The sequence below is a fragment of the Homo sapiens genome, chromosome 10 (assembly GCF_000001405.40).
Source record: "Homo sapiens chromosome 10, GRCh38.p14 Primary Assembly".
NCBI lineage: Eukaryota > Metazoa > Chordata > Mammalia > Primates > Hominidae > Homo > Homo sapiens.
The window spans coordinates 105,627,288-105,655,157 of NC_000010.11; the positions used below are offsets into that span (position 1 = coordinate 105,627,288).

The following is a 27,870-nucleotide window of genomic DNA, read 5'->3' on the forward strand; positions in this document are numbered from 1 at the left end:
TTCAGTATGCTTTTCAGCCATTGCAAAATACAGCTACTTTATACAACTGGGTTGCATAAAGATCTCTCTAAATGCAGTAGGAAGGATTTACTAGGGGTTGGGGAGTAAAATGTGGTGAGAGAAAATAAATAATGAAACAGGAATAACAGTTGGAAAGATAATGCCATAGTGAGAGCTGATGCTGGCAGTGGAGGTGAAGAAAATTTCACAGTTTATAGATATATATTGGAGAAAAACTAGGCAGGCTTTAATGATGGGTAGGAAGTATGTAGCAAGTTAAGAGAGGAAGAGTAAAGGATGCTGTATTGTTATCTATTACTGCATAACAAATTACCCCCTAACATAGCAGTTTAAAACAACGAACATTTATCGTATCACAATTTCTATGGGTTAGAATTTTGGGTGCAGTCAGCTGGGTTACAATCAAGACATCAGCTGAAGCTTCAGCCATCTGAAGGCTTGACTAGGGCTGGAAGATCTGTTTCCAAAATGGCGCACTCATATGGCTGCTGGCTGAGGCCTCCTGTTTCTCCATGCATGGGCCTCTCCACAGGGCTGCTTGAGTGTCCTTATAAAATGGCAGCTGTTTTTTTCCAGAATCAGTGATCCAAGAGACAGAGCAAGTTAGATCTTGCAGTAACCTTTTATAAACTAGCCTCAGAAGTCACATACACTGACTTTTACCATGTCCTCCTCATGAGAAATGAGTCATTAATTCAGCTATACTCAAGGGGATGAGAATTATGTTCACCTTTTGAAGACAAGAGCCCCAAAGAATTGTGCATACATGGTAAAACTATGACAGGTGACTTTTTGGATTCAAGTTTGCATAATGGCACTGCTTACCTTTACAGACTCACATTGAACATTCTAGTAATAATAAAACAAAATTGTGTGAGGATTTTGGTGAAAATAAATGAATATCAATAAACTTCCATAAGAGTTAGAGAAGGGTTAGATGGACAGGAGCTGAAGTGGCCAAGGGAGATTTAAATGTGAGCTTGCCCTTGAATGATGAGTAGGATTTGGGTAGAGAGATGCAAAATAGTAAACCAAGTAGGGTGCACAGTACAAGCAAGCGCTTGGAGATGGAACAGAGAAAGACCCCACCGAAGCCAAACATTTGATCTGAGGGTAATACAACAGGAGTCAGTAAAAGTGGGGAGCCACTTCATGAAGAACCTTAAGAAATTTCAAGCTAAGGAATTTGCACTTGATTCAGCAGTTGAGAATTCATGATATTTTCAGAGAGAAAGGGAATTGTGCATAGCAGTTTGATGTGTTAGGGACTTGGCACAGCCAAGGGATGTTTCTACTGTTGACTTGTGTTCCAGATGCAAGGCCTGCTCCTCAAACTTAGTGAGACCCAGGAACCTAAGTATTTTGTGCACTGAAGGGACTGACTGTGAATCCAATTATTCATCAGTTTGGAAGGATTTATTGTGGAATCCTGAAGGAAAAGTCTCCTGTCACCAAAGCAAGATTTAAACTGCTTAAGTGCACATAAGTCAAGCAGAAATTATGGTAATTGGACTTAAACCTGCTTCCCTCTCTGCATATTGTAAATAAAAGAAGACAGTTTAAACAAAGGAGCAAGATGTAAATACAAGAATGAGATCAAAGCAAATCTGGAATTAAATTCTACAAAGAGAAAACAAAATCCAAGATATATGGCCAGCACTTTTTAATGCATTTTACAGGACTAAAAACTGGCAGCCTAAAATATGATTTGCTCAACACATCTATATAAAGTTTGCAAAACAACTTAGAATTCACCCGTTTTGGTGTTTCCCAATTATCTTGCATTTTATGAAGTCATTTACTAATTTTTCACTGAAATATGCACAGTGACTAACATATTTGCATACAAATGAACTATCCATAGTCCTGAACTTTTCTTTGTCACCTAAACCACCCACAGTCTTGTTGTTTACATGTTATTTTCATTAATAATAATGTAAACTAAATAAAATAAATGAAGATGTTAGGGCATAGATTTAGACTGGTGACATAAAATTATTTATAGAATCACTAAACTTTATAAACTTATCCTAATAAAGAATAATTTGAAAGTAGGTCTTCAGGTAGATAGTGCTAAGAGTAAAAAGGTTGTGACTAAGGAAGCAAGGATGATGGGACGCTTTGAGATACTGAGACAAATAGACATACATAGAATAGGGAAATGGGTCAGGAAAGCAAACTGAGCAATAACAGGGAGCTAATACAAACATTACTAATTTATCATTTTTAATCAAGGCAGTGACAAATATACAGAATTAATATTAGTCAAGTGGCCTCATAGATAAGCTCTGGTCAGCTATTACCAAATAGAAATTTCTTTTTTTATCATAAGCCCATACTTGTATATCATGCCTTCTTCATGCAAGTGATATTGCCTTCAAGGGAGTAAAAATTGATTCTTGGAGGGCCAAATCTCTTACTTGTTTTTCGTATAAACACAGAAACACATATAATACCTAAACACATACAAAGTATATCTCTGGTATTAAAATTTCATGGAGGGAATAATCAGATAAAAAATGTCTCAAGGGCTCCTCGTATGTGTGTTGGGGGTAGGGGATAGTAATAAAAAAATATGTTGACAAACATGGTGTGATATAATCCTTTCCTAAGTTTTGTGTAGGAATCCACTAGAATTTAAGTTCCTTAAGCACAAGAATTTAGGCCTGTTTTTTTTTTCTTTCACTGCTGTACTCTCAGTGCTTAGAGCCTGCTTGACACATAGTAGGTACTTAACAAATATTTACTAAATAAATGAATTGTTTTACTTTGCAGCAGAGACACCCAGGGCAATGGTGATAGTGCCTTGATATCTATTACTCTTATAATTAAAAGAGAACAATCTAGCACTTGGTCAAGTTCTTTGGTGCGACTGGAGAAGAAACTAGGGACTGGACCAAAGAAGACTTGACAAAGTGCTAGGTTGTTCCCTTTTAATTGTCCTTCAGCCTGGCACTTTTCATGTTCTCTGTCCTCCCTTAAACCACTGGGCCTTTGTATATAATGCTATTTCTACTCTAAATCTCATCTCCTGCAGCATAGTCAACTCCAAGTCATCCTTCATTCCTATCTCTGACTGATTCAAAGGTTTCCATAATTCCCTATACTTCTTTATCATAGCATTTAACACAGGGACGATATAGTATGCCTTTGTATGACATATCAATAATGCCTGTTTTCTCACTAGACTGTAAATTCTATGGAGTCTGTTTGGTTTCATTATTTTATTCCCTGCAAATAGTACTATGCCTAGTGTTGCACTCATTGAATAAATTCAAATAACAAACACATGATTAATTCTGAAAAGTCCAGGATTCAATGAATGCAAATGTGTTAGGTGTGTGATCAAGATTAAACAAGAACCATACTAACTTCAGTTAACATAAAAAGTAATTATTTTCTACCAATTAGTCTCTGATAAGCCACTTGGAAATGAGAATTTTAATCAACGGGTAGTAACTGAAAAAGTACTCAGTGGCAGTACTGTATTATGAGCTATATTGAATGTGTTTTAGTGTTTGTAGATATTAGGACTCTATACATACTAAACCCTGATCATTTGGCATTCGGTATAGTATGGAGATCAGCTTAAGAAAGAATCGTCTGAGATTTGAGCTTTTATTTTTATTTTTATTTTAGGTTCTGGGATACATGTGCAAAACGTGCAGGTTTGCTACATAGGTAAGTGTGCCATGGTGGTTTACTGTACCTATCAGCCCCTATCTAGGTATTAAGCCCCACATGCATTAGCTATTTATTTTGATGCTCTACCTCCCACCACCCCCGATAGGCCCTGGCGTGTGTTGTTCCCCTCCCTGGGTCCACGTGTTCTCATTGTTCAGCTTCCACTTATGAGTGAAAACATACAATGTTTGGCTTTCTATTCCCATGTTAGTTTGCTGAGGATGATGGCTTCCAGCTTCATTCATGTCCCCTCAAAGGACATGGTCTCATTTGTTTTTATGGCTGCATAGTATTCCATGGTGTATATGTATCACATTTTCTTTCTTTCTTTTTTTTCTTTTTTTTTTTTTTTTTTGAGATGGAGTCTCCCTCTGTCACCCAGGCTGGAGTGCAGTGGTGTGATCTCAGCTCACTGCAAGCTCTGCCTCCCAGGTTCACGCCATTCTCCTGCCTCAGCCTCCCAAGTAGGTGGGACTACAGGTGCCCACAACCATGCCCAGCTGATATTTTGTATTTTTAGTAGAGACAAGGTTTCACCGTATTAGCCAGGATGGTCTCGAACCCCTGACCTCTTGATCCACCTGCCTCGGCCTCCCAAAGTGTTGGGATTACAGGCGTGAGCCACCGTGCCTGGCCTGTACCACATTTTCTTTATCCAGTCTATCATTGATGGGCATTTGGGTTGGTTCCACATTTTTGCTATTGTGAATAGTGCTGCAATAAGCATATGTGTGCATGTACCTTTATAATAGAATGATTTATATTCCTCTGGGAATCCCATTATATCAGTAATGGGATTGCTGGGTCAAGTGGCATTTCTGGTTCTAGATGCTTGAGGAATCACCACACTGTCTTCCACATTGGTTAAACTAATTTACATTCCTACCAAGAGTGTAAAAGCATTCTTATTTCTCCACAGCCTTGCCAGCATCTGTTGTTTCTTGACTTTTTAATAATCAGCATTCTGACTGGCGTGAGATGGTATTCATTGCGGTTTTGATTTGCATTTCTCTAATGATCAGTGATGTTGAGCTTTTTTTCATATGTTTCTTGGCCACATAAATGTCTTATTTTGAGAAGTGTCTGTTCATGTTCTTTGCCCACTTTTTAATGGAGTTGTTTGTTTCTTGTAAATTTGTTTAAGTTCCTCCTAGATTCTGGATATTAGACCTTTGTCAGATGGGTAGATTGCAAAATTTTTCTCCCATTCTGTAGGTTATCTGTTTACTCCAATGATAGATTCTCTTGCTGTACAGAAGCTCATTAGTTTAATTAGATCAATTTTAGCTTTTGTTGCAATTACTTTTGGTGATTTCATCATAAAATTTTTTGCCCATGCCTATGTCCTGAATGGTATTGCCTAGATTTTCTTCTAGGGTTTTTATGGTTTGGGGTTTTACATTAAGTCTTTAATCCATCTTGAGTTAGTTTTAGTATAAGGTGAAAGGAAGGGGTCCAGTTTCAGTTTTCTGCATGTGGCTAGCCAGTTTTCCCAGCACCATTTATTAAATAGGGAATCCTTTCCCCATTACTTGTTTTTCTGAGATTTATCAAAGATCAGATGGTTGTAGATGTGCAGTCTTATTTCTGAGCTCTCTATCCTGTTCCATTGGTCTATGTGTCTGTTTTGGTACCAGCAGCATGCTGTTTTGCTTACTGTAGCCTTGTAGTATAGTTTGAAGTCAGGTAGCTTGATGCCTCCAGCTTTGTTCTTTTTGCTTAGGATTGTCTTGGCTGTACAGGCTCTTGTTTTCTTCCATATGAATTTTAAAGTAGTTTTTTCTAATTCTGTGAAGAATGTCAATGGTAGTTTGATGGGACTAGCATTTAATCTATAAATTCCTTTGGGCAATATGGCCATTTTGATGATATTGATTCTTCCTACCCACGAGGATGGAATATTTTTCCATTTGTTTGTGTCCTGTCTCATTTCCTTGAGCAGTGGTTTGTAGCTCTGCTTGAGGTTTTTCACTTCCCTTGTTAGCTGTATTCCCAGGTATTTTATTCTCTTTGTTGCAATTGTGAATGGAAGTTCATTCATGATTTGGCTCTCTGCTTGTCTGTCGTTGGTGTGTAGGAATGCTTGTGATTTTCACACATTGATTTTGTATCCTGAGACTTTGCTAAAGTTGTTTATCAGCTTAAAGAGCTTTTGGGCTGTGATGATGGGGTTTTTTAGATATAGGATCATGTTGTCTGCAAACAAAAACAATTTGACTTCCTCTCTTCCAATTTGAATATCCTTTATTTCTTTCTCTTGCCTGATTTTCCTGGCAAGGACTTTAAATACTATGGTTGAACAGGAGTGGTGAGAGAGGGCATCCTTGTCTTGTGCTGGTTTTCAAAGGGAATGCTTCCAGCTTTTGCCCATTCAGTATTACATTGGCTGTGGGTTTGTCATAAATAGCTCTAAGGGGTTTCCATTATCTAGAAAAGTCACCCAGAGAGGTTTAAAGAAAAACACTCTTTTCGTTGAGCACTTTGTGATTGAAACGTTGACAGGTACTTCACATGCATTCTCATTTAATCCTCATTAATTATGTGAGAAGGTGATATTTATTATTGCCTCCATTTTAAGATGAAGAAACTTTGGTTCAGAGTGGTGCTGTGACCTAGTTATGCTCCCCTTAAGTAGTGCTATGGTTTGAATGTTTGTTTCCTTCCAAAATTCACATATTGAAACCTAATCACCAATGTGATGGCATTAAGAGGTGGGATCTGTGGAAAGCAACAAGGTCATGAGGGCAGAGCCCTTAAGAATGGGATTAGTGCCCTTGTAAAAGAGGCCCCACAGAGCTGTTTTGCTCCTTTTACTATGTGAGACCACAGAAGGTGAAAGTGAGCCCTCACCAGGTACCAAATCTATAGACACCATAATCTTGAACTTCCTGGCCCCCAGAACTGTGAGAAATAAATTTCTGTTGTTTATAAGTGATCTAGTTTATGGTATTTTGTTATAGAAGCCCCATTAGACTAAGACAGGTAGTATCCACAGCTTACAAAGTAAATAAACCAATAAGACATCATTATTCTTCTACAGATGTCAATATGAGGAATATAGGAAACAAAGCTTATAAAGCAAGCAGCAGCAACCTTTTTCTGAAGAGTTCTCGATAGTAGATATTTTAAGTTTTGCAAGCCATGTGGTATCTGTTGCAGCTAGTCAACTCTGTCCTTGTAGCTCAAAAACATCAATAAAAATGTCCTAAACCAATGAGTATTGTTCTGTTGAAATAAAATTATTTGTGGACACTGAATTTGAATTTCACATAGCTTTCATATGTCACCAAATATTCTTCTTCTAAATTGTTTTCATTTGCTTAAAAATGTAAAACCATTTTTAACTTATGGACTATTGCAAAGCCAACAGTGGGAAAGTTTTGGCCCACGGATCATAGTTTGCTGAACCCTGTTATTGTAGTAATGACCGTATTAGTAGGTATAGTTAACATTTATTGGCCCTATCCTATGTCCCAAGTACTAAACACTGTAAGAGTTAAATATTAACATTTCTTATCAGGTAGATGGCAGTAATACTATTCCTACTTGCTCAAGATTATATAGCTATGGGAGATGGAGGAATCAGGATAAAAACCCAGGTTTAGAATATATCCCAAACTCCCAGCTTAGAATATATTTATGAATGAAAACATGTTTATATGAATCAAAAATAAAATAGTTGCGAATTTGTGTAGGACTCCATATACAGAAGAGGAGTTTGGGGAACAGTAAGTCCCTGACAGTAAGAGTAGAGCATGGAAGAGCTGAGTCTTAAATTGAGCCTTAGTAAGGTTCTTTATCTAAATGTTAGGTAGGAGGAAGTGGGCAGAGAGGGGAATAGCATAAACAAAGTGAGAAATAAATAGAGCTTAGCATACATAAGAAGCTTGGCTGTTCTGTAGATTTTCTGTTGTAGTTATGTATTATTGGAGCTTCACAGTGGGTACTATTTTCAAAGGCTTTAAATGTATGGATGTTGGTTTCGTAGTTTTGACAAATGTACCGTGGTAATGAAACCATTAGGGGAAACTAGGTGAGGGGTAAAAGAGAGATCAATCATCTTTGGAACTTTTCTCTGAATCTAAAATTATTACAACATACAAAGTTTATTATAAAAAGTATTTTGAAATCCAGTTATTTTTTCAAATATAAGGTTGAGAAACCTACCAGTTCAAATGATCTCCCAACTCAAACTTTATTCAGTTTTCTCTGTACATGTCCTGAGGTTAATCTAAGATCTGTTTCCCACAGGTAGTTGAGGGAACCTCAGAGAGGTTTAGAAATGAGCATCCAAGCTCTAATACTCCCTCTGCTCCTGCTGTCACTCTAAAACTTTTTGACATCAGATCCATGGCGTGGCAGCTTTTTGATGTTGGATCGATAATATAAACAACAATTTTGAGTGACAGCTTCATCAAGTTAAAACTCCCAACAACTGTACTTCAGAGGCACAGAACTATCTGCTAGAGATCTACTGAAAAAATCAAAAGATGAACCTGAAAGAACTTAATATTATAAAAGAGGCTTCCTTCGGGCCTTCTCTCCAAAGGGTTTCTTTTCCATTAGAGAAGACTGATGAGAAGTCAGCAAAAGGAAAGTCTTTCTCTTCAAGCCAGGTGACTTTAATGCCACTGAGATGATAGAATACAGCTTTGAAATTATCTCCTTCCACCACACTCATCATAATTCCTTTGGCACTATAGGTACAGCCAATAATATTTAACTGCTCCCAGAAAACTATTCTGTAGCATTTCAATAGCCATTGTAAAGGAAACTCATTGTCTACAGACTCTTCAATGCAGTAAGTACACAAAGGAATAAATAAATAAACCATATCTTCATTGGCTATAATATGCACATTTTTTTTACATGTTAGTGTCTCTGAAATTAGGATGTTAATATCTCTGAAATCCTCCCGCCTCAGCCTCCCAGGTAGCTGGAATGCAGGTGTGCATCACCACTCCAGGCTATATGTATATAGCCATACCACTACATGTATAGTGATGGTGCATGCCTGTAGTCCCAGCTACTTGGCAGGCTGAAGCAGGACGATAGCTTAAACCCAGGAGTTTGAGGCTACAGAGAAATATGATCATGCTACTGCACTCCAGCCTGAGCAATAGAGCAAGACCCTGTCTCAAAAAAAAAAAAAAAAAGAAAGAAAGAAAGGAAAAAAATCAATTGTCTTTCTATTGCTGGGACAGAAATTGTTTTTTTACAGAGAGGATTTACATTGGTTGCTGTCAGTTAGGGGCACTGCTCACTTGAGATCACTTTAAATTAAATTAAGGTGTTGGAACTGTACTGGTAGTTTGCATTCAGACTTTAAATCTGCATGAGTACATGCTTGGTTAAAAAAAAATACTCAGTGGAGATTTTTCTTTCCGCTCTTTCTACTTGGTGTCAAGTTTGAGATATGCATCTTTTCTTGTGATCTTTTTCTGCATGGTGGGTTTATTTCTGCTTACCCTTTCAAGAAGCATAGAGCTCGTTGGTATCATGGCTTTAGGTACCACTTTCTCACTAACTTCCTCATCTTGGGCAGTTTGGGTTTTCTCTCTAAAATATATAAAATAATGATGCATCTTACAATAAATGTTTTCTATTCAGTGAAATATGAAAATCTCTCAAGTTCAAGTTCTTATTTTTACTAGCAACCATGGTAAACCTTTGCATAAATGATATGAAATTCTGCCTCTAGGACAGTCTGAGTGGTATCACTTGCTTTGTAGTTTGTGTCGTTGAGTATGACAGTGCATTATGTGTGCATGAATGTTTTTGATTTTATGTGTGTATGGTTATTTCTTAAGCAGCAACTTAGGTTTAGTTGGTTTTAATGGGAATACATACTCTGGCAGTAGTGAGCTAGCCATCTAATCAGGAAGGTCATGCTTCAGAGGCAACTACTCCAAACATTTTTGTTATTCATATCCAATAAAACATTAAATGCTTCATTAATTAGCAATTTCAGAAGTAGACTTTATCGATGAAATTATGTTTATTAAATGGCATAACAAATGTTAGAAGTAGGCTTTCATCAATTCCATGACAATTTTCAATAGATGCAATAGCTAAAGTACAGAGATTCTCCCCCCGTCTTGCAAAGCAGAATATAAGAACCTGGTAGAGCCTGCTCTGTTTCTGGAGCTGGCACTTGAGACTCTATTCTTAAACAGACCTGTACCATTGGTTTGGAGAATTTCTAACTGCCTTATGCCAATCACTAGAAAAACAGTACCCTGCCTCTGGAATATTGTTTCATCTGTCTTGCGTGAACATTTCATGCAAGGAGTAGTTGGAACATCTAAAAGGAGAGAGAGGTGAACTTTGAGTTTACAGAATAGTTGTTTTTCCTAATTACTATGGAATACTCAGTACATGTCACTATATGCAGTAGAATTTCCTCTGAACTGGCTTCATTATAGCCCAGCAGCAAGATTGTAATCCTGTATAAAGCCATAACATTTGTTTGTAAAGTGTGTGTTTTGCTTGCGCTTTCAGGCCAAGATAGCATGTCGAAGCTGAATCCAGCCTTGTTCTCCAATAGCCCTGTTCCAGTCAGGGCAGTAGAAACTCCAAGAGAATAACTTTTGTTTTGTTTTTTAGTTTTTCACTTTGTCCGTCCAGAAGGGGGTATCTTTTCTAATTCACACAGAGGTATTAGTTTAGGTTGGCTTAGTTCCTTGATCTCTGGTATTTCACATTTCTTAGAGGGTTATTTTTATCTAAGAAAAAAGAACCTAAGGTTTGTGGCTGGTGCAACAAGAAGGTACCAATATTTGTCTATTTTACATAAAAATATAAAGGGACTTAAAGGAAGTAAAAAAATGTACCGAAGTTCATGTTCCCTTGGATTCTGGATTATGCCTATTCATAATCTGAGTCTCTGGGCAGGCCTCTATTGAGAAACTGACATCAAATCATCATGAAGACTTTCAAAGCACAACAAGATTTTGACATCATTAAATTCTTCTGCAACCATTGCCTTATTGACATAGGCATATTTCACTTTTTGCAGCATCTGTACTCTTGAAGGGACACACATAAATCTAATTTCTACAAATCGAAACTGTTTTGCTCACTAATTTGCAATAGAAGTTCAAGAATGACATTTTCATCTCATATGTCCACAAAAGATATCCTAACCTGTGCTACGTTTCTATGGTTCACATTTCACCATTTTATTAAAGAGCTAATAGTCTTTAATCCTACATTCAACTGTACCATGGAACCCTTAAAGAAGCCCTGCACCAATAAATTAATAAAATAATGTTACACAGATTTTGCCAATGTACCAGGTTTTCTGTTTCCACCAACAAGTAGATATTCCTGGAGAATCAACAAGTGACAATGTTAGTGAGAAGGCATGTGCTTGCACATGATTCTAAGATATGGCAAAAAGGCTTCAGAGATCCAAGTTACTACATCGGGCTCATATTTTTAAAATAATCTAGAGTTATAATCATCTACATCTCTAAAAGGGCAAACTTCCACAGGTGCTGACTATAGAGAAGTAACTTGATGGAATTAAAACATTCTAGAATTAAAAAGGACTTTAGAGAAAAAAGAGTCCAACTTCTTCCAAATCAGACTATCTTCTATTACATCCTTGATAAGATGATTAATTTACTGGGAGATGATGATAGAAAGAGAATAGAATTTTACAGTTTCAAATGTTGTTGCTATGAACTGAATTGTGTCCCTCCCCAAATCCATATGTTAAAGCTCTAACTCCCAATGTGACAGTATTTGGAGATGGGGCCTGTAGGAGGTAATGAAGTTTAGATGAAGTTACCATGGTAGGGCTCTAATGATAGGTTTAGTACCCTTATAAGATGAGACAAAACACATTTATCCAACAAGAAAAAGATATATGGGAACTGATGTGGTTTGGCTATGTGTCCCCACCCAAATTCTCATCTTGTGGCTCCGATGATCCTCAAATGTTGTGGGAGGGACCCAGTGCGAGATAACTGAATTGTGGGGGGCATGTCTTTCCCATGCTGTTCTTGTGGTGAGTGGGTCTCACATGATCTGTTGGTTTTATAAACGGGAGTTGCCCTGCACAAGCTCCAGCTCCCTCTTTGCCTGCTGCCATCCATGCAAGACATGACTTTCTCCTCCTTGCCTTCTGCCATGATTCTGAGGCCTCCCCAGCCATGTGGAACTGTAAATCCATTAAACCTCTTTCTTTTGTAAATTGCCCAGTCCTGGGTATGTCTTTATCAGCAGTGTGAAAATGGACTAATACAGGCACACAGAGAGAAAGCAGCCATCTGCAAGCCAGGGAAAGAACCTTCCCAAGAACTGAATTAGCAGTACTTTGATCTTGGACTTTACAGCCTCCAGAACTATAAGAAATAAAGTTCTGCGTGTTGGGCCACACAGCCTATGATATTTTGTTAGGGCATCCCGAGCAGACTAAGACAGTTGCCTAAACAAAACCAAGATGTTGTGGCTTGACTTGTCTCTCTAAGACTTCTATAAATACATACTGAATGCTGAGCCCATAAGTAGTTGATAAGTGCTAAGTGAAATGACTTTTTTCAGCACTTTCAGAAAACTTGGTAGTTTCACGGTTAATTTCTACCAACAGCAGAAAAGCAGAGTAGACACTGAAACCGGACTTCCTTAGAGCCAATCCAGTCTCCAATACATAATATCTGGATAATCATGAGGTTAAGCTTGTTTCCTCATCTGTAGAATGAGAATAAAAATACTATTAACCTCATTGACTTGTGATGATCAAGGAATGAAAAACATACAATGCAATTAGATGAATGTCAGTGAAGACAGTAAGCACATAATAATAGTATTGTTTGTATCATCATCATTGGAAAGGTGTGGCACACATTTTGAGGACTACTTTTACTCCTGGATCCATTTTACTATAGCATAATGTATCTATGTGCAAAAAAAGGGCCACATTTTCAAAACATGTTAGCTTCACTACCCAAGAAGATCAGGGCTGAGAATGTTCAATAGCCTCAGTAAGAAAATCTTTATCACTGCTTTGAATTAACAGGAGAATAAAGACTACCTCTAGATTTATTAAGAGACCCTGTGAGTTTAAACCCAAATGTCTTTTCCCCAATATCTGTTTGTAACTTCATTGACTCTAATAAGAAATATTTATATTCATTTATGGGATGATAATTATATAAAGATGACCTAATGAGTCTAGATTTTAGAAGCAGAGGCTATCTGAGTCATTGCCAACCCCGATAGGGTTCAGGTCAGCATCAGACCTTGTACTTACTACTTATTTTTAAAAAGGAAAAGTGCCTTAAGAAGCAAATAATTATACATTCTTTCTCCACCTATGGTACCACACAAAAAATTTACATTAATTCACACTCTAATAATTGGGAAGTTAGTCCTCATTTGATTTAGCTTGGGCTAAAACTTACTTTTGACTCTCAATAAGAAGAAAAGCTTTGCTAAGTTTTGCTTGGTATAAATGACATTGTATAAAAATATATGTACCTACTAAAAGAATCAACTGTTCTAAGGACTTTAAGTTCCATTAATTGGTTGTAATGCAAAGGACTTTTTATTTTATAACTAGTTATCAAGTAATTAGGGCCCACCATGGTTTTTGCTCAGAAGCACTTATTTATAATTGGTTGCTATAGGTATTTGAAAGCAATAAATTTACTTAAAATGTATTTTATAAATATTATTTAGGCTTACTCACACAAATCCACATCAGTGAAACTGATGTTTAAAGCTCATGCTTTTTATATAATAATAAATTTCAGCAGACATTTATAATATGGAACATTTTATGACATCTCACATTTACATAAAAATTGTGTGAATTATCTAAAAAAACTTTATCATTTACATTATTGTCTGTATTGTTCCTCAAATTTTCTGTTCTTGGCTGATTCTTCAATTTACTTGTGAAAGCAATACTTTAATTAGCAAAAACTGATTGACTTTGAGTCAATGATTATTTATAAATACAGTTCCTACCCTGTCTTAGAAAACAATTTGACCATTATATCTTCATTATAACAAAAAGAAATGTACACATATCCAGCAATATTCCAATAGGGGAATGAAAAATGGAATAAAATTATGGTAAATTAACATTTTGAAATATCATTTAACCATTAAAACAAACTTAAAATGAAGTAACATGAAAAAAATGTTTGATATAAGTGGAAGAGAAGCTGAATAAACAATTATATTTATACTGGAATTAAAGCCACATAAATTATTTCAATCTATTATAGCAGGGAACATTGAAAATGAGCATTTTGGGAATGTTTGTGTGCCAGATTTATTGTGAATTTTTTTTCTTGGATTTGCTTTAATTTATACTTGAGCCAAACAAAAAAAGGAAGGGGAGAGGGAGCAAAGAATGACTGAGATATTTATATTTAAATACAGTTTTTAACATTAGAATCTTTTTATTTTGTGGGGGCCTACTATTTACCAGCAGACCCAATCTTATGGAAGGCAAGACAATCTCTGGATGTGTTCTCCCCATCAGAAGTTGGGATGAATCACAGCTAACATTACCCTGTGTTCACTATGTGTGCACTATATAGAAGGCACTCTTCAAAGCATTCTACATATATTCATTAATTTAATCTTCACAACAACCTTATGAAGTAGATATTTATTATTTGCATATGACAAGTGGTAGAAGCTGGGAAAAAAGGGATTATATAACTTGTCCATGACAACAGTTATTAAGTAGTAGATCTGGGACTTTAACTCAAGCAGTATGTCTATACAACCCTTGCTTAAGACTACTGCACTATGCTGTCTGTCTGTCATTCTTGGTTTGTCTAGACAGACCTCTGTGGGTCTTCAGGGAATTGTGCCTTATTTTCCAAGCCACTTACTTTGCAGCTCCTAGAAGCCATCTTTGTAAAACATGAATCATTCTGGCCAGATTCAATTTGGCTTCTCCCAATCTAGCCCATCTGCTTTTCTTTCCTGAAACTTTGCAATTGAGTCTGAGAGAGGTAAGGCTCTCTTTGAATTGTCAGATTTGTGTGAGTAGATTTGTGGTCTGTTGGCAGTGGTTTTTACTGTTTTGTTTGTTTCCAAGTGAATTGGAGATATATAAAACTGACCTGAAGAAAGTATGAGATGAATGAAGTAGACACACCTATGAGATCAAAGCAAAATCAACCAACCAACCAACCAACTACACTAAAAAACAACAGAAAAAGAGAGCTCTTCCTCACAACATTGAAGGTCCTAAACTCACTTTTGAGGTCGTGTCTTTGGGGGTCATTGAACCACACATATATCCTCAATTTAATCTCCCTATTTTGCTTCAGCTAATTTTCTGTTACTGAGAACCAAAATGAGCCTAATAGTGTTTGATACTCATAAATAGCACAACATTTCAAATAATTTAATCTTATGGGAATACACCAAAATGTATATGCAAAATAGAGGTGAGGAATGTGTTATAAGAAACTAGTAAAATGCTGTTGTGTATGTGTGTACAAATAAAGGAGATAAAGAAGGTAATGAACTCTACGGTCTTTATAAGCTCTAAATGAACTTCTAAGGTAAACTTATGGTTCCTGGATAAAAGACATTGTTTTGTCCAAATCTCTGATTATTTTTGTGACATGTGACCCAAAGTGCACTAAATTCAAGATATTTCTTATAACAAGCTAGACTTCATTCTTACCAATGTTCACAACTTGTTGGAGGTCATGTCAGAGGTGTGTGAACCAGAGTAACTCCATCTTGAATAGGGGCTGAGTAAAATGAGGCAGACACCCAGTGGGCTACATTCCCAGGCAGTTAGGCATTCTAAGTCACAGGATGAGATATGAAGTCGGCACAAAATATAGGTCATAAAGACCTTGCTGATAAGGCACAAAATATAGGTCATAAAGACCTTGCTGATAAAACAGGTTGCAGTAAAGAAGCTGGCTAAAACCCACCAAAACCAAGATGACCATGAGAGTGACCTCTCGTCAGTCTCACTGCTACACTCCCACCAGTACCATGACAGTTCAGTACCATGACAGTTTGCAAATGCCATGGAAACATCAGGAAGTTACCTTATGTGGTCTGAAAGGGGGAAGCATGAATAATCCACTCCTTGTTTAGACAACATCAAGAAATAACCATAAAAATGGGCAACCAGCAGCCCTTGGGGCTTCTCTGTCTATAAAGTAGCCATTCTTTTTATTTTTTATTTTTTTTGAGACAGAGTTTCACTTCTGTTGCCCAGGCTGAAGTGCAATGGCTCAATCTCAGCTCACCGCAACCTCCGCCTCCCGGGTTCAAGAGATTCTCCTGCCTTAGCCTCCCGAGTAGCTGGGATTATAGGCATGCACCACCACGCCGGTAAAGTAGCCATTCTTTTATTCCTCTACTTTCTTAATAAACTTGCTTTCAGTTTACTCTATGGACTCGCCCTAAATTCTTTCCTGTGCAAGATCCAAGAACCCACTCTTGGGGTCTGGATGGGGACCCCTTTCCTGTAACAGTCATATGGAATATCACATGCTAAAGACTTGGTGATTCTGGTGGTTTATACATCTCTTATTTTACATTTTTCAAGAGCGCTCATTTTATTGATTAAAGTTCTGATCTCAAAGCAATAATTATAATATTATCACTGTGATCACAGAAGCACATACTACATTGCCCCAAGGGCTTCTCAAATGCTGCTTACAAAAATACTCAAAAATAAAAATATGGATTCATTACTATTTAACTATAAAATAGCAAGCATGAAATCTGCAACACAAAAGTTATTTAATGCAGTCAGAGTAAATTTGACATTAGCTTGGAAGGTGCAGGGCAGGCAAATAAAATCTCCCAAGCTTGGAAAACACTATTACCAGTTAGCAGAATCACTGAACTTTACAACTTGGGAGTTCCCTGACAACCAATTACTCAGATACAGACATACAATCCTCTTCTATAGAATTCTGAACAGATGGTCTTGTTTTTCCCATGGCTGTCCCTGTTCCACAGCTGGGCAGCTCATAGGTTAAAAATTCATTTTTGAGTTTTTATCTGTTTCTCACATACTTCCTCATATTCATCCTAAATGAATTCTGCTTTAAAAGAGAACAAAATGTTTCCTATTCAAGAAGCGTTACTATTTGGGAAGCCTTTTATATAAAAATCCTCCATTTCTTTGACATGACTTTGTCATTTTTAATAGGTGCTATGATGGTTAATATTAAGTGTCAACTTGATTGGATTGAAGCACGGAAAGTATTGTTTCTGGATGTATCTGGGTGTTTCTGGGCGTTGCTGGAAGAGATTAACATTTGAGCCAGTGGACGGGGAGAAGCAGACCCACCCTCAATGTGGGTGGGCACCATAAAATCAGCTGCCAGCGCAGCTAGAAAAACAGGAAGAAGCTAACTTGCTTAGTTTTCCCAACTTCATCTTTCTTCCATGCTGGATGCTTCCTGCCCTTGAACATCAGACTCTAAATTCTTCAGCTTTTGAACTTTTGGACTTACATCATTGGTTTACCAGGCAGGGACCTTCAGCCTTTGGCTACAGACTGAAGGCTGCACTGTCAGCTTCCCTACTTTTGAGGTTTAGGGACTCGGACTGAGCCACTACTGGCTTCCTTGCTCCTCAGCTTGCATATGGCCTATCGTGGGACTTCACCTTGTGATCATGTAAGTCAATTCTCCTTAATAAAATCCCTTTCATATATACATATATCCTATTAGTTCTGTCCCTCTAGAGAACCCTGACTAATACAGGTGTGTTCCAGGAAAGACTGCTAACAGTACACTGGGAAAGGTGGATGACAGAACCAGCTGACCCAGCTTTGGATAACCTTGGCCATTTTACATGGTTCACGTGAGAAGTATATACAAGGAATATATAATGCTCAGCATAGTATGTCATCCATAGTAGATAGTAAATAAATGCAAATGAGTTATTTTTAATTCACTCTCCCACATCTCACTGTTGGAGTCAAATTACTTAGTCCATGCCCTATATTTTGTATTTTGGGGGAGAAAAAATATATTATGTATTTTTTCATCTCATTTTGCAAAGTGGAGAACTCTCAGTAGAGAATGATCATCCAGCTGTCTTTGAGAGCAAGAAGAAAATCCTGTTTATCATACTTTTATTGCTTAATCCTTGTTGAAAAGTTTCCCAGTGGAAGGTTCTGTTTGTTTTTCTGCAGTGGGAAAAAGTTTAACAAACTCAATGACACAGTCATGTGCTCATGGTCACACACACCATCTCCAGGGGTCTAATCTGAGGATTTGGTGGAAGCTTCTGCCTGTGGTCAGCAAACTGTGGAAGCTCTTCCAAGGATGCTCTTTACTGGACAACGCAGGAGGAATGTAGAATCACAAACTGACTTCACCGCCAGTGAAGCAAACTTTGGGTGCAACATTCAAGAGTGGGACTGGCCTTCTGGGTCTTGATTTTAGCCAAATACTTCTTCTCTAGATGTCTCCTTTTCTAAATGAGCCAAAAACTTCTAGGGCTGCTGTCACCAGATGATTACTAGCACATAATCTTAGATGGTCCTGGAAATATTTGATAACATTCATCAGCACATATATTTTATTAGGCACTCTGGGAGATAACAGAGATGGGAGAAAGTTAAGTAAGTGTTGGCTTTGGAGATGGTAAAAAATTTGGGATGTTGCTGTAGAAGATATATGTGACTCTTTTGGTAGGTGAATGCCGTGGATGCAAGATTGTGTGTATTTGTGTGAATGTGTGTATGTATGCGTGCGTGCATGTACCATGCATGTAGGATGGCATAAATTGCCAGCAAGCATATCTTGATGTGGGAGGTAAAGTACAATGAGGGTATTTATGAAAAAGAGGGAGGCAACAAAAGCTGCTCCTTGTGTCTTTCTCCTCCGTGAGAAAGCTGAGTTGTGTCTTTCTCCTCCGTGCTGCTACCAGCCTCAGACCCTCATTACTACCATCCTCCACCCTATTCCTCCTCCTTCCAAGATACTCTATATCCATCTTCCTGTGATTAAGGTAGGATTTAAAAAAACTTGTAAGAGCTGCAACTGTATTTTATGTTCATCTTAAGGGAGAAGGTATGTCTTTTCACATAGAAGGACTTCACCATGACACAATGAAACATTAAAAAAGATATCACTGAAGCTGTTTGTCTTAGCTTCTGCATTGGGTGGCTTCTACTTGCCACCCAAATAATGCATCTATATCCTGTCTGTACAGTAAACCTTCCAATAAGCCCACCTTAAATGTTTGGGGACATACCAAGACTCTGCTGGCCTCAAGAAAGAAACATTTGGTTGGTCGTGGAGGCTCATATCTGTAATTCCAACACTTTGGGAGGCTGAGGAGGGCAGATCAACTGAGGTCAGGAGTTTGAGACCAGCCTGGCCAACATGGTGAAACCCTGTCTCTACTAAAAATACAAAAATTAGCTGGGCTTGGTGGCGCACGCCTGTAGTCCCAGCTACTTGGGACGCTGAGGCATGAGACCTGCATGAACTCAGGAGACACAGGTTGCAGTGAGCCAAGATTGTGCCACTGCACTCCAGCCTGGATGACAGAGTGAGACTTTGTCTCAAAAAAGATGAGAGAAACATTTGATAAAACAAAAAATAATAATTACAGGGGTAACAAAATAATAATTTAGGTACAAATAGAGATTGTGGCACCTTTACAGCACCCTTTTTGGTTTTCTAGAGAGTTTGTTTTTCACTTTACATTTTGGTCATCATCCTTCCCCTTGCCCATAGCTTAACAAAAGGTGCCAATAAATCCCACCCAAAATGGAGACCTGAGTCTGAGGCTGGAGGAGGTGACTGAAGGTGGAAAATGACTGATTAGAATTTTTATTGGTGTTGTATCACAACTCACACCCCAGGATGGAAGGAACTGAGTCTTAGAGGAATCACAGCAGTCTGGCCTTTCATCTTTTTATATGGGAGATCAGGGAGAATAGCAATGGTGAGCAGGGTCATAGCAGGCTGAGCTGGCTGGTAATGCTGCTTTTACTAAGAAGTCCTTTCTAGTGAAACTGCCTGGATTCCACAGATGGGGAAAGGTGGTTAGATAGATGTAATGCTTCTATTCAAAACACCACGTTCTAGAATGTGGTGATCTGAGTTAAATCTTGAAGACATAGATCTCTTGGGATAATGCATTTGATAATGATTCTGCCCAATACATGACATAGGTCAGCGGTCCCTCATTAATGCAAACCTCTGGAGACATCATGGATATCATGAATTTCTAGTTATTGGAAACTCAGAACCTTTTTATTAAGATTTATAAGGTTTTTAATTGCATTCTGTTTGGATCAGAAAATAATATGCCAAAGTGAAAGCCTCAGAAGCAAAAGTTTCTCTCTGACCTTCTCCTGTCCTCTTATCTCTTGCTTCTCACTTTTCCCCAAGGCTAGCCATAGCAACTAGAATCCCTCTTCTCCAAGCCAGATTATAGAAACCAGAACCTGTTTTCCCCAAAGCCAGCCATAAAACCTAAAAATATGACTCTAACTTTCCTTTACCTTTCTGTGTAAGAGCTGGCTGTAAAAAAATTATCTGACCTACCTAGTTTGATTGTAGGTCATAAGACCTCCTTTTGGAGAGGGTCCAGCCCCACATCCAGAAGGAAGGAAAGCTGTACTTCCTTTCTTCTTGGAAGGCCAAGAAGAATCTAAGCAGACAGGCCTTGCTGGATTTTCCCACTCCATCTATTAGCATTAGCTCATACCCTTTTTGTTCAATCACAGTTCTACACAACGGTCCATAGTTTATTAAACCTAAGCATAACAATGGAAAGTTTTCTCTGTATTTGTTGGTCTTCATTCTGAAGTCTCCTGTGTGACATAAAACTATCATTAAATAAATTTTCATACCTTTTCTCCTATTAATCTGCCTTTTTTCAGTTGGTTTTTCACTGAAACTGCAGAGGGCAAAAGGGAGGTATTGCCTTTGCTCCCTACAATCCCTTTCCTGAATAAGCTGAATATAGATTCCCCCACTCCTATAATCTATGATTATTCCTATGAATATGAAACATAAGACCTTGAGCAAGTTTTGTTTGCTCTTTACAGTTCAATATTTTTCCCATTTTGGACATTATAAGGGGCTAGATGGTATACATAATGATCAACATCCCACTCAGATCCAAAATTCCATTGTTCTCACATTCCTGCAATTCCAGGTAAATCCCATACTTCTCCCTGCACCTCAATACAGGAACTCGATTTCCCTTTCTTCCTCAAAAAATGCAGTGAGCTGGCCGGGTGCAGTGGCTCACGCCTGTAATCCCTGCCCTTTGGGAGGCCGAGGTGGGCGGATGACCTGAGGTCAGGAGTTTGAGACCAGCCTGACTAACATGGTGAAACCCCATTTCTACTAAAAATACAAAAAATTAGCTGGGCGTGGTAGCATGTGCCTGTAATCCCAGCTACTCAGGAGGCTGAGGCAGGAGAATCCCTTGAACCTGGGAGGCAGAGGCTGCAGTGAGCCGGGATCGCACCATTGCACTCCACCCTGGGCAACAAGAGCGAAATTCCGTCTCAAGAAAAAAAAAAAAAATGCAGTGAGCCTCTTATTGTATATAATCTCTCAAAAGCCCAAAGGCAATACTGCCACTTTGGAAGGTTTTCCTCCCAGAAAGCTATTTAATTTGATGGTTATTATTTGTTTATCAAAGCCCCACTGTTTATTCAGATTAATTAAAAACTATTGTTCCAGCTGCAGCAAGGTAGTGCTCCTTGTAATGAAAATATCTGCAATCCCGAATTCATCAACCTACATCTGATCCCATTCAAAAGTCTTTAACCTTACTCCACAAGGCAATTTAACTCAAACTGCCTCAGACCTATGTCAGTGGATGGGAAGATTGAATCCTTAAGCAGGGACCTTTTATTGTTGAAATCTCATGGCATAAGCTGTTAGGGATTGCTCCCAAAATTGCAATTTTAGAGTTGGCCTAAATTAGACAACAGGAAGTGAAACTGAGCTGCTAAATCTTAAACTCATTTAAAACATCATCTCCTGGCAAATGATGTTTTAAAAAGTGTTTTGCTCTTTTGATTATCAAGAGTGCTTATGTGTTATGGATTAGCAGATGCCATCATTTCCCAATAAATAAAGATAGTTAATAAGACATAAATAGCTATTTGATAACATAAGCCTAATTTATTTTAGTTTGTAAATTCTGCTGAGACCAAGTACTGTTACCTGCAGTCAAGTTTTTCTTATCCAGAATAATCTCCATATAATTGAAAATCCTCACACTTAACAGCTTTACTGATTCACATCTAAAACATTAAAAATTGGTTTCCAGCATATACAGACCGGCTGAGAAGTGAGGAAGGAAGTTATTTTCCATCTATATATTAAACTGGAAATGTATCTTAAAGTCTGTAAAGCAGTTCACTGTTGCACAGATTAACTCAAAATACTCCAAACAAAACCATTTGCCTCAACATTTCCAGATACTCACAAAATTCCACCTTTGAATGCAAGAGAAGCACGAAATATTTTGCTAATTCTCCATTTTTACTGCTATTGACAAGAGTGAATCTTGTCCTTAACTGAATCCACAGTGTTATTTGGAAGACATTTATTATTCAAAGCTAGGCAAGTGTCCTAAGGTAGTTTAAAAAAAAATTTTTTTTTAAATTTTTCCCCAGCTTGCCTGACTAGCTATCTTAACTTAGTATTTACTTGCAATCTCTTCCTTTGGCCTCCAGAATAAATGCACGAATGGCTCTTCTGCCAAAAATGGCTCCGAGACTAAAATAACTAAACTGTGTCTGTGTTTGGGTCATTGCTCAGGCAAAAATATTTAAAGCAAGACCCCGACTGCGCTGCAGAGACACTGGCAAACAGAAATTGCCCACATAACCCATTGGTTGTTGAATTCCTTGCCTTCTTCAAGTCTATTCTTTCTTCCAAATGCCATGTTTAAAATTGTTATATTGTCCCCTGTCTCCTCTTGCTCACCACAATCTTTGCCTCTGATTTTTCCTTTTAAGGGCTTACCTCTGTTCTATTTACGGAATTCAATAGGAAACTAATCTGCAAAAACACCAACTTTGGTAAGAAACATACATTTTGAACAAACTGTTAAAATGGGCCCCAGCATGCTCTGATTATTGTATTTTCTTCTAAGAGACCCTCTGATTGACCATCTCTATCCTTCCATAAATATAGATTCATTCTGGGGGCTCTGACCTTCCCCCCAGTGATTCTTTTGAGGCTGCTTTGTTGCAGCAGCCTCTTTTATGCCTTTCAGTAATAAGTAATAAACAAGCAGCAATTGTCACGCTGCTCTCCCAGAATAGGGGCAGGCCTTCCTGCCCTACATACATACATTCTCATTATATGTGGGGAGTTCATTATGGGGGCTGCTGCAACAAGGAAAAGGAAGATGAGGCGAGGGCCCCTTGCAAAGCTGCACTTTAAAATAGAAAAGGGAAATGAATTGCTTTTATTTTAAGAGGCTTCCTTTTAACTCTGGCTGCTATTTATCTGTCAGGGATCATCCCACCTCACAGCAGGGGAGACCAGTAACAAGTATTTGACCAGTTCAAGAGGCAACTATTTCACACAAGGCGGCTTCTTCCAAGAAGACCATTAAAGCGCATCAATCCTGACAGTTGCACAGACACCCTGAGGGCTGTGCTGCAGAAACCAAAACTTCAATATATCTGTTGGCTTTCCAGGGGCCTGTGCAGCTGCCTGTTTAACTGAGATGAGATAGGAGTTTCACATAATGATGGGGGGCCAGGGAGAGGGGAAGAATAGCAAAGGAGGACTTGGACAGCAACCTAAACCCTAATGTGATTTGTTGATGCTCTGGAAGTCCTAATCTGAGAAAATGCATACATCTCGGTCTAAAATGGCCCACCCACAGTCTGTGGCACCACCACTTCAGCACTTAACAGGAATTAACCAATATGTTTGCAGAGAGTTAGAATGGGTTCTGGTTACCAGAATACAACTCCACCTGCAGTTGCCTTACAGAGTATGGTTTTTGAGAAGTCATGCGGTGTATCATCACGCTGGGGATCTGAGTGGGAAGAAGTAATGCTCACATGATAAAAAAAGAAACCTACTAACATTAATCACAGTTTCTAGACCATCTTTAGGATACTCTAGTATTTAGGATACTCTTCCTTTCCAAGCCCAAACTATGTATAATCTGCCTAGTCTTTGTGAGATTTCCTGAAACTGGGGAAGAGAACAACCATCTGCTTTGTCCCAAACACTTTCTGGTATCAGCATGGGAGTTTTGGCTAACAGGGAAGGCTTGTTATTGCTGATACAAACTGAGAAAGAGTACAGTGCTCAGACTTCCTCTAGGAATGGTAGATGAAATCCCCCAAAGATAATGGGGCATAATGGGCTTCTAAGCCCCCGTGAGTAGCATGAGGTCCCGCATACTGCTAATTTAGAAGCTTCTCAGCCAGCTAATGAATGGCAACAGATCCTAAGTGATAAGCCCTGAAGATGCTAAAAACATTTACTAATACTCATTATTTTTATTATAATAATTATATCAACAACGATTTTATTTCATGTGTGCATAGGTCTAATTATTGTGCATGCATTGCCTTATTTAATCTTTTCACAACCCTATGAAATAATAATTTTATTTGCTCCACTTCATAGATAAGGACTGATGTCAAAAAGATATGGAATGGTTGGTCTATAGTCATACCGAACAGTATGGCTTTCGGTTATAAATTGCATTGCCATACTGACTTAACTATGAATCCTGATTCTCTTGCTTATAAACTGTGTGACCTTCCTTAAGTAATTTAACTTATCTGAACCTTATATTGACGTTACATCTAATAGTAAGATTATTGTACAGACTAAAATAAAATAATAGCTTTAATATGAGCATATAGCAAAAGGTATGACATAGAGGAAACATTTAATAAATTCCACAAACAATTGAGCAGGTGTCATTATTCTCAATTTAAAAAGTGACTACTCAGATCCAAAGAATCTAATAGATTTATCTAAGGCTATATAGCTAGAAGATCAAAGAACTGAACTAGACACCCAAATTTCCAGGTAGGTAGGTGTTCTTTCTACATTATCACAAGTTTACTCTGCTTTGGGGAACATCAATTCACATGTTGTCAGTGGAACACTTCACCTATAAAAAGGTGATAAAGAGAATTCACCTTTCTTAATTCTTTATATTTTTGTTGAATCAAGAGTGCTTAGGGTATTTTTCATTGCTGGAAAAATAAAAGTGAAGTGCTTTGGCTTCATAAGAGTTAAAGGCAGCAGCCTTAAATTTCACGGAGAGTAACTTTGGAAAGTCCTTTGGCAGGGAGATATGAAGAAAGACCTCTTCAAAGTTTTTGGCTCTCTATTGTCAGGGGTAACAAGATACTTAGTTCTGGACTTTCACTACTGCTTCCTTCTCTTAAAAGAGGCCAGGGTAGAGCAGGCCATACTACAAGAAGAAAATCTTAATCACCTTCCCTCAAAATAGTTATCTGACAAATCTGCCCATACTCATTTATTTTCCTAGTTCTAAGAAATGTAGTGAAGATAGTCATTCAGTCCTAGGGAAATAAAATAGGACAACAGTCCTTACAAAAATTTAAAAAAAAATTCACACAAAAAATATATGTTCTTTCTTCCACTCTTTTTTCCACATTTGACTGAGTAGCATCTGGGTTGAAAAGGTTGTGGTGGTGAATATTTTATCAGATTTTTGACAAGACATCCATCTCATTGTAGAATGAGGCTAGATCTTAAATCACCTTAGACAGTTTTGCTTCTTAATTAGACAGTCGATACACAACCAATTGGGAGAGCTGGGATCTATTAGGCTTCTATGATTCTGAGATGGCTGAGATCATCAACAAGTTGAGTCTGGTCCAATTAATTCTCTTGATAGTTTACTGTCTCTTCAGTTATGCTAGAAAATTGGGTACTGACACAGCACATTGTATTAATTTTAAGTGAAGCTCTAGCAAGGAAGAGTTGAAACAACGCTGTTTGCAGTCTGAACCAAGAATTCTGTTTAAAATGGTATTGCACTGGTATATGCAAACATTCTAAGGTCAAAATAATCCATTTCCTCATTAGTACTCAAGGTTTCTACTGCCATTCTACTTCCTCAAGTTTTAGTTCTGTCAGAATGGTTATCAGTCACCAAATTCTTGGCTGTGCCTCAGAGTCCTAATTAAATTTGAGGTTTTTGTCTTGAAACCAATGGAGAATCGTTAACTACTGATTATATGTTAGTTGATACAAAACAGCTAGTTTTGTAATGGCTTGCAATTAAGAATTCAATATCCTATCTTCTTCAGGCAGCAGATTGGTTGGAACAAGACATATACTGTCCTGAAATATTTGGGTCAATGAATATATGACATAACCTATTCTATTTTCCAGAAAAAGTGACATCCACCCACCTTTTTTTAAAGATTGGGAGGAGGAGGTGGAAATAGGAGGCATTTGAGAGAAAAATGCATTCAAACTTAGATCTCAGAATCTTAAATGACTCAGTAAAGTAAAATCTAGCCAAGGGTGGACATATATTAAGTCATTTGAGGGTAAAATGAGATATCTTTTATAAATATACTAAAAGAAGAAAATGACCAAGTACTATATCATTGCTCTGGTTAGACATGACAGTTTGGGAAAGAAAATGCTTTTATATCTATTCCATTTGATATTCTCACAAAATTACATTAAAAAATAGAAGATATAAGCACATAAGGAAAAACATCATGAGAATGGAGACTGTACTGATAATTGTTATCAGCAGAGTTTTGAAAAATGTGAAGAAGCAATTCATTTTGAAGACTAGACCATGCCTACAGAGGGTGATCATTATGAAAATGGGAGAAATGAACTGTTTTGTCCCATAGAGTCCTGAAAAGACTGAATTCTTAGAGGTACCAAGAGTCACAGAAATGAGAGTTAGGTGTAAGACTGAAACAGGTGGATTGGCTTAAAGTTCATTCCCCAGATCCTCATTCTCATGCCTCTTAGCCAGATTATTATTACTTTTATAATCTCTCAGAAGACAGGATATTCATTCTTTTCTGGAGAAACTGAACAAAGCAGAGGACAGAGTGTGTGTTTGTGTGGACCAAAGTCATGGGTGTAAAACCTGTGCAATTATACAGAATACCACGCTTAAAAGAACCTCATACTTGTTTAATACTCTGATGTCAAAATTGAAATTCTTAATAATTTTGAAGAAGTCCCATATTTTTAGTTTGCACTGGGCCCTATAAATTATGTAGCTGGTCCTGGTGTTTGTGGTAGGTAAATTGTATTTAGGTACAAGAGAGAAAATATGAGCATTAGGAAAGTATGCGAAGTGAATCATAAGTCACCCAATCTTCTTACCCTGCCCTGTTCCCAGAGTAAGGTTGGTGAGATGTATTACCCACCCATCCAACCAAAGCACAAGAAACACCCAGGGAATGGACTTTGAGGATTTTTTTAAGGGAAATAGAATAACCCTAAAGAAAACAGATATTAGCATTTGAAGAGTTTATAATAAGAATCAGAATTGTTATCCAATCTACTATAAAGGCCTCAAGTCAGAAAGAACTTCCATTGCATCTAGAGATTCTATCAGAGATTTAATGTCTTACTCTACAATTCAAATAAATAACCAAGGATTATCAGATACTTGATGAGAACCTCAATATGTAAGATGGAGTCCAAAGGAAAGAGACTTCAGAAAAATGGATTCCACACAGGGAGAAGAATACAATTTAAAAAAAAGTCTATTGTTAATTTTTTTAGAGAACTAAGGCAAGATTTAATAGCCATGATATGGTTTGGATCTGTGTCTGCATCCAAATCTCATGTTCAATTGTAATCCCCAGTGTTGGAGATGGGGCCTGGTGGGAGGTAACTGGATCATGGGGGTGGATTTCTCATGAATGATTTAGCACCATCCTCTTGGTGCTGTTCTTGCTATAGTGAGTGAGTTCTCATAAGATGTGATCATTTAAAAATGCATAGCACCTCTCCCCTCTTGCTTCTGCTCCCACCATATAAGACACCTCACTTCCCCTTTGCCTTCCACCATGATTGGAAGTTTCCTGAGGCCTCCCCAGAAGCAGAAGTCACTATGCTTTCTGTACAGCCTGCAGAACCATAAGCCAATTAAACCTCTTTTATTTTTTATTTATTTATTTATTTTTCAGATGGAGTCTCACTCTGTCACCAGGCTGGA

General features: G+C 37.8%; 1 long non-coding RNA gene across 1 annotated transcript in view; it reads left to right on the forward strand.

Annotated features, from left to right (window-relative positions):
* The first annotated feature begins 17,303 nt into the window (after positions 1-17,303).
* The window catches only part of LOC107984266 (uncharacterized), a 40,565-nt gene continuing 29,998 nt past the window's right edge, over positions 17,304-27,870 (forward strand). Inside the window, exon 1 of the long non-coding RNA XR_001747580.2 lies at positions 17,304-17,339. This is a non-coding gene — a long non-coding RNA (uncharacterized LOC107984266). The remainder of the gene's footprint in view (positions 17,340-27,870) is intronic.